Genomic DNA, 8,688 nt, shown 5'->3' on the forward strand with positions numbered 1-8,688 from the left:
GGGAAGTCCAAGATCAAGGTGCTGATGAAATCTGTTCCTGCTGAGAGCCCTTTTCCTCGTTTGCAGAGGAATACCTTCTTGCTGTAGTCTCACTTGGTGGGTGGGGTGAGGAGAGCTCTGGTTCCTTCATCTTATTGTAAGGGCACTAGTCCCATTCACATGGACTCCACCATCATGGTGTAATTATCTTCCAAAGTCTCCATCTCCAAATACCATCACGTTAAGGATTTAGGGTTCAATGTTTGAATTCTGGGGAACACAAACATTCAATCCATAGCAAAGATAGTTTTAGAGAGACTAGAAAAGACACCATACATAGAAAATAATATAATCTCTTGGGTATCAAATATGCTACTTGAGAAGTGTCCTTGTGGCTTTTCCACAGACTAGAACAGGGTTTCTCAACCTCGGCACTGTTGACATTTGGGGCCAGATGATTCTTTGTCGTGGAGGCCTACCCTGTGCATTGTAGGATGTTTCGTAACATCCCTGGCCTCCACTAGCTAGATGCCAGTGGTACCCCTAACAAGCTTAGATACCCAAAACGTCTCTAGACATTGCCAAATGTCCATGGAAGGAGGGGTTGGTGTAGAGGAGGGCTGCAAAATTGCCCCTAGTTAAGAACCACTGGCCTAGATAAACATTTTTCAAAATTCCCTTTATTTTGATTCTATTCTTATCTAGTGACATTTTGGAAAATAATAGGCTCCATTGTTATTTAATAAATCAGAACTTAGGTTAAAAATGCTTTAGTCTCTGGTGAGTGTAGCTGAGATGATACATTTTCCCAAAGACTTACCATCTCTGAGCATGATACTCACCTTACAGAATTGAGTTTCTGAATGTGTACTCTGAGGACCAGACTTTGGATCATGGGAACTGAACCAAGTACCGGAAACTTATAGCCCTGTGCCACTGTTCCATCTTGACTTTGTTATCTTAAGTTCTAACTGCAGAGTACAATACAACAAGTACAGACAAGCCTTTCAGTCTCACATTCATATTAGCAAATGTCCAAATTTCACATATTTCAATTTTATTTATTTATTTATTTAAGATAGGGTCTTACTCTGTCACCCAGGCTGGAGTGCAATGGCGCAATCATAGTTCATTACAACCTCAAACTCCTGGGCTCAAGTGATCCTACTGCCTCAGCCTCCTGAGTAGCTGGCACTACAGGCGTGTGCTAGCATGCCCAGCTAATTTTTGTATTTTTAGTAGAAATGGGATCTTGCTATGTTGCCCAGGCTGGTCTTGAACTCTTGAGCTCAAGTGATCCTCCCACTTCAGCCTCCCAAAGTGCTGGGATTATAGGCATGAGCCGTTGCACCCAGCTGCATCTGGCCTCAATTCCATTTACTTTTTTTTTTTAATTCTTAAATCCTAAAAGCTATATTTCTTTTTCATCACACATTCAAAAAAATCAAGAGTTAGTGTGTGATTGTACAGAGCTAGACTTTTGTGTTAGCCATTATTGTTATTTTTGTTAGCATGAGAACTAAAACTATAGATTTTTTCCTGTTCAAAGTGACTCCTATTCTTTTATCACCTTTTGCTCAATTACAGTACTGTTAAGTTTCTTAACATTCTACATATTTGTTGAGCCACAGTTTGTCAGTTTATTCATAATTTTTAAAGTTCCATTGATAGCTTATTAGAAACAAAATGAACTCTGGCTATCTGTTAATCATTGGCATGTATGAAAACTGACAAAAGGCCAGTTCACTAACTGTTTTGGTTAATGCTTATAAATCTCCTTTGGTGTAAGATTAGTATTTTGCTAGTGAGACTACCTATGCTTTCATGATCCTTTTCTCAATAATGCCAACTATTTCTTTAGGTCATTTCTAAAATGCCTCCTAGTCACTTACACATTCCCCAGCATAGCTTAAACATGCTTCTATAATTATTTGTAAACATGGAGAGTGAAGTAAAATAAACTATTTCATAGACAATGAGGCAACTAAAAAATTCTGAGATTACCATTATAACCATGGCTGGGATTTTGCTAAAGGAAACTAAGAATTTAGAAGAAAATTGGGGTTTTATGTATCCTCCAAAAGTCAGTAGCTCTAGATATTATATCATTATCTTTTTAGGCTGAGAACTAGGACAGCTTCCTTGGTTATGAAGAATCAGCTGTTAGGTAGAAATCCCCGCAGATATGCCATCTTGGCCTTATTGCAAGGACCATTATATCCACAAGTCACCCCAAATTTCCCTTTCTGTTTGCCTCCCTATATGAAAACAATTTAGAAATTCCATTTTCTTTTTCCCATGTCCTCCCTCCAGCTCTCTCTCTCAATAGACAGATAAATGGATCTATCTATCTATCTATCTATCTATCTATCTATCTATCTATCTATCTACAGTCATGAGTTGCTTTATGACAGGGATGTGTTCTGAGAAATGCATTGATAGCTGATTCTGTCACTATGGGAATATCACAGGGTATACTTACACAAACCTAGATGGTATAGCCTTCTACCCACCTAGGCTACATGGTATAGTCTGTTGCTCCTAGGCTATAAACCTGTACAGCATGTTACTGTACTAAATACTCTTGGCAACTGTTACACAATGGTGTTTGTGTATCTAAACACAGCTAAATACAGAAAAGGTAGAGTAAACATGCAGTATTACAATCTTATGGGACCACTGTAGTGTATATAATAAGTTATTGACCAAAACATTGTAATGCAGCCCATGGCTGCATCTGTACACACACATGCTCAAAATATTACTGTTAAGAAACACTTGCTATGTGCCAGGCACTATGAATGAAGATGACATTATTACCAAGTTATCCCTCCAGGTTCATGAGCTACAGCTCCCTCATAATTCCATCCTATGCTGAAGCTGTATCAAGCTACTTCCCTCCTAATTATAATCTAAACACCCCATGCTCTTATACCATCATGATTTTGCACATGCTGTTCCTTTTGCCTATCCCACAACACACTTCTCACCATGCACAATTTACCTTACAAACTTACATGTTTTTCAGTTCCCAGCTCAAATGCACATTCCCCAAGGAAACTTTTTGAACTGCTTAGATAAAGCTAAGCACTCTTCAGTGCACCTTTAGCCCTTGTACAGCCACACCTCTATTGTGGCACCTAACATTGCATTGCAATTTTGAATATAAGTAAGTTTCTGAAAGGCAGGAGCTGAGTCATATCCTAGCTCTAATACTTGCAAATCGTAGGCACACAAGTGGCTTTAGAATTCATGAAAGGTTACTATGGTCTGGGTATTTGTGTCTCTCCAAAATTCATATGTGGAAATTTAATCTCTAATGTGTTGGTGTTAAGAGGTGGGGCCTTTTAGAAGTGATGAAGTGATGATAGTGGATCCCTCATGAATGGGATAAGCACTCTTATAACAGAAGCCCTTAACCGACACTGAATCTGCTGATGTCTTGATCTGAGACTTTCTAACATCCAGAACTGTGAGCAGTAAATTTCTGTTGTTTATAAATTATCTAGTCTAAGGTATTTTGGTATAGCAGCCCAGTATGACTAAGACAAAGGTTTAGTAATTATCATGTTTTCAGGATTGAAATACGTTTTTTTATTGTTTATAGAATGCAGAAGTAAATTTTTATTTTCTTTCCATAAAAGAACATAAAGGAAACAAAAGCTTAGCATATAACAGTGATGCTATCCATTTGTTAGATGGTTAACATTTTTGACAGATTATGAAATCAACATTTAAAAATATCCCTTTTGAGTTATTCAACAAAGCTGGACGCAAACATCCTTGTTTAAATTGCTAACATTATTCTCTTGTACTTTTTCCCCTAATTGCAAATTTGTTTTTACATTTCTCAGTTTAATTGATTTTCTCACAGACACATGTACTCAGTCTATTCATAGAAACATTTTCCTTAGGTTTGCATACTAATTTATTTCATAACCCAAAATAAAGTTGTTTTACAGTTTTGAAATAAAGCAATTTGCCCTTTTAATTTACAGATTAAATACTGCTTTAAATATTAAATCATAAAACGATTTTTTTGGAGGGAAGTGATGTTCTAGTTACCTACTGCTTTGTAACTAGCCACACCAGAACTTAGTGGCTTAAAGTGGCAATTGATTATTATCTCTCATGGGTCCAGGGGCTGACAGGCTTAGCTGGTGCATCTCATTTGTGGTTCTTCATCTAGTTGAAGTCAGATGGTTGGAGGTTGAATTGCTGATAGCTTCTTCAGTTTCCTATCTGGTGCCTGGGCTGGAATGGCGGGAACAACTGGAGGCTGCTGGAGCACCTTCTCTCCACCTGGCTAGCTTGGATTTCCTCACAGCATGGTAGTCTCAGGGTAGTTGGACTTCCTACATTAGGTCTGGCTGCCCCCTATCAAGCATTGCAAGAAGCCCCGGCAGAAGCTGCAACACTTCTTATGACATAGTGGGTAGGGAAAACTCTCTCTGTTTTTCCTCTACTCTCACACCACAGCAGTTGTCAACACAGAAGTCTTCTGTGACCAAATGTGTGGGTTTTGTTCCCCACACACCAAGCAGCAGACACCAGCTGGGTATCCTCTAATTTGGTTCTAACACTATCTACCTGGAGATAGTGTCAGAACCCACCGTCGCAAGTCTAGGCCTCCAGAACTTTTGACCTACCTGCTTCAAGTTGGGATCCCCATGACCTCCTCTTTGGGTTCAATTAATTTGCTGGAGTGGCTCCCAGAACTCAGGAAAACACTTACTAATGTTTACCGTTTTTTAATGAAAGACATTGCAAAGGATACAAATGAAGAGACACATAGGGTGAGGTATGGGGGAAGGGGTTAGGAGCTTCCATGCTCTCCCTGGGTGAGCCATCCTCTAGGAACTTCCACGTGTTCAGCTATCCGCAAGCCCACGAAACCCTATCCTCCTGGGCTTTTATGGACACTTCATGACTTCAGCATTTCTTCCCCCAGGGAAAGCATGGGACTCTTTCATGGGAGCGTCTTAAGACCAACAGTCAGACCAATGGGGGAAACATTAGAATGAAAGGAGGGCAGGTGGCCTGCCCCTGAGTCCTAACACACCTGATATTCTAACACAAGACTGTAACAAGGGCTGCAGGGGTTAGCCAGGAACTGTGGACAATAACCAAGAAATATCATAACACCACACATAGTCTTGGAAATCCCAGAATGTCATTTCTGCCATATTCTATTGCCCAAGCAAATCACTAAGGCCAGCCCAGAGTCCATCGGAAGGAAGCAATGACATCTATGTGCTGAGAAGGAAGGAGTAGATGGAAGTCATCCTTGACACAAACTACCACAGATAACTGAGATTTTTTTTTTTTGTTAAAGACTTAATTTTTAATGAGCAGTTTTATGTTCATAGTAAAATTGAGAAGAAGGTATAAAGGGTAATATTATATGTATTATTCTAGAACTACCCCATCTTTTTTTTTAAACAGCTGCATAGTATGTCATTCTATGAATGTACCATATTTTATTTAACCAATGGCATATTATCCTGGTTACTAAAGCTGCATAAAAAACTACTCCAAAACTTAGTCCTGTGAAATACCATCTTGTTGCGCTCACTCTGTAGGTTAGGAATTTGGTCAGGGCATAATGGGGATGACTTGTCTCTGATTCATGATGTCTGAGACCTCTGCTGGGGAGATCCAGCAGCTGAGGTGACTCAATAACTGGGGAATGGAATCATTGGTGGTATTTTCACTCACATGCCTGTTGGTTGGTGCTGGCTGTTGGCCAGAGCACCTACCTGTCCATGTGGCCGGAGCTTCCTAACAACATGGCCCCTTCAGGGCAGTCAGATTTTTTACATGGTGACCCAGGACTCTAAAGGCAAGTGTCTCAAGAGAGAGAGGCAGAAACTGTGTGGCTTTTTCTGACCTAGTGATGGAAGTCCACACAGTGCGGCCTATTGGTCACAGTAGTCACAAACTACCTAGAATTCAAGAGAGGGGACTGGATGAGAGAAGTGTCAAAGAATTTGTGAACACATCTTCAAAACCACCACACTTACTTGGACATTTAGACCGTTATAGTTTTGTTTATTACAACAGCACAGCAGTGAATATGAGTGATATGGTTTGGTTTTGTGTCCCCATCCAAATCTCATGTCGAATTGTAATCCTCAGTATTGGAGGAGGAGCCTGGTGGGAGGTGATTGGATCATGGGGATGGACTTCCCCCTTGCTGTTCTTGTGATACTGAGTTCTCACTGGTTGTTTAAAAGTGTGTAGCACTTCCCCCTTCTCTCTCTGTCTCTCCTGCTCTGCCATGTGAAGATGTGCCTGCTTCCTCTTCTCCTTCATGATTATAAGTTTCCTAAGGCCTCCCCAGCCATGCTTCCTGCACAGCCTGCAGAACCATGAATCAATTAAACCTCTTTTCTTTGTAAATTACCCAGTCTCAGGTAGTTCTTTATAGCAGTGCAAGAACTAACTAATTCAATGTGTGTATCTTTGTATATACCTTTGTGCACACAGCAAGTATTCTTGCAAGGTATATTTCCTAGAAATAGAATTGCTGCTGCACAGGGATTGGACATAGTCCTAGAAGTGGAATTACTAAGTCAAAATATTTTCTCCTTTTTAAGCTTCCCAACACAAATTGCCAAAATATCAGCTAGAACACTTATGCCACTTAACATCCCCACCAGCATGTCCTGTTCTCTTTTTATGCTCCCTTCATTCTGCAGTGTTCTTCAACAGTAGGGCACTTCACTTTTTTTCTTTTTTCTTTTTTTTTTTTTGAGATGGAGTCTTACTCTGTCGCCCAGGCTGGTGTGCAGTGGTGTGATCTCGGCTCACCACAACCTCCACCTCCCGAGTTCAAGCAATTCTCCTGCCTCAGCCACCCAAGTAGCTGAGACTACAGGTGCTCGCCACCATGCTCAGCTAATTTTTGTATTTTTAGTAAAGACAGGGTTTCACCATATTGGCCAGGCTGGTCTCAAACTCCTGATCTTGTGATCCACCTGCCTCAGCCTCCCAAAGTGCTGGGATTACAGGCATGAGCCACCTTGCCTGGGCAATGAGACAGAGTTTCGCTCTTGTCACCCAGGCTGGAGTGCAATTGCATGATCTTGGCTCACTGCAACCTCTGCCTCCTGGGTTCAAGCGATTCTCCTGCCTCAGCCTCCCAAGTAGCTGGAATTACAGGCACTCGCCACCACACCCAACTGATTTTTGTATTTTTAGTAGAGATGGGGTTTCACCATGTTAGCCAGGCTGGTCTTGAACTCCTGACCTCAGGTGATCCACCCACCTCGGCCTCCCAAAGTGCTGGGATTACAGGCGTGAGCCACTGCGCCTGGCTCGCTTCACATTTCATGGTGGGAAACCTGAAGCACATTTTGCTACAAAGTCCCAATAGGAACTCAGAAATCACAAAGAAGTCTTTAACTCTAGTTATAATTCTCTAATGGGATATTTTGATGAACGCATTATCTTTGATGTGCACAATATGTTAAAGATAATAGAAAATTCTACACCTAGACTTCACTACCTTCCATTATCTCCCTGCCTTCAGTAGAGTTGCATGTACAGAATGACGCTATGGCGTTATTTTCTTATATAGACAGTTAAGATTTAAAAAATGTAACATTTGAAATAGCTGTACATAATATTTATAAAGTAGTTCAGTGACTGGTTACAAAGTCTCCTATAAGTATTTCTTTTAGCACTAACAGTCTAGATAAAAGTTTGTTTTCTGATAAATGAGCATACTTCTGTCCATCAGTTAGAACTATGTGTTGTACTTCATTCTTTGTCCTGGTTTTTAGGATGCTCAGAATAAAGTTTTACCCATTACTGTAGCATTCCAGTATTTACTTTAATTACAATGTTTAAATAAAGGTTTTCTTTTCTCCTCTTTTACTTCTCATTTCTCTCTTTCTGGGGATATGTTTGGCTCTTACTGCAATTAATTGTCCTTCAATCATTTTTAGAAGATGGAGTAGGAGGGTCAAATTATAAATTAATTGATAAAAGTTATGTCTTTAATTTGTAATACAGGTGATTTAAGGGCTACGCTGAATATGTAGTGGTTTTTGTGTATGACCTAGAAGCAGTTTAAAAATTCAAGTGTGAGTTATTTTGCTATTTACTTTTTGTGCTTGACAAAGGAGTCTAGGAGTAATCAAAAGCTTATTTTAGGTTTAATCTACTTTTGTTTTTATAAACTATGTTTAATAAAACATCTAATGGCTTATTTTATAGCACAGCTAACTAGAGAAGAGTTTTTGCACATTTTAACATTTTACATTGATAAAATATGACAGATCTAGCAACTCTAGGTTGACACCTTGAGATAATCTATGCCTCTGATTATTTTTGAAACATTATTGTATTTGAGATCTTATTTTTTTATTTTTGTTTTTATGTGTTAGTTTGGAAATGTGACGTGGGAGGCTGCTCCAATTTCCAAATATCATGGGTAAATAGAATTTACATTTCATAGTTACATATACATTTATTTTGCTACTGATTTAATTTTGTATCCCTTCTACAAATATTTTATGAACTATGTAAAATCAGTTCTGACTTTCACTCACTAAACTCAAAAATACTTTCTCAATAGCTGGGGATAGTGGTGCACTTCTATAGTCCTAGCTACTCTGAAGGCTGACACGGGAGGATGGAGTCTATCTTGGGCAACATAGCAAGACCCGCTTTCTTTTTCTTTTATTTCTTTTTTTTAAATTA

This window comes from Homo sapiens, chromosome 13, assembly GCF_000001405.40.
Source record: "Homo sapiens chromosome 13, GRCh38.p14 Primary Assembly".
Classification (NCBI taxonomy): Eukaryota; Metazoa; Chordata; class Mammalia; order Primates; family Hominidae; genus Homo; species Homo sapiens.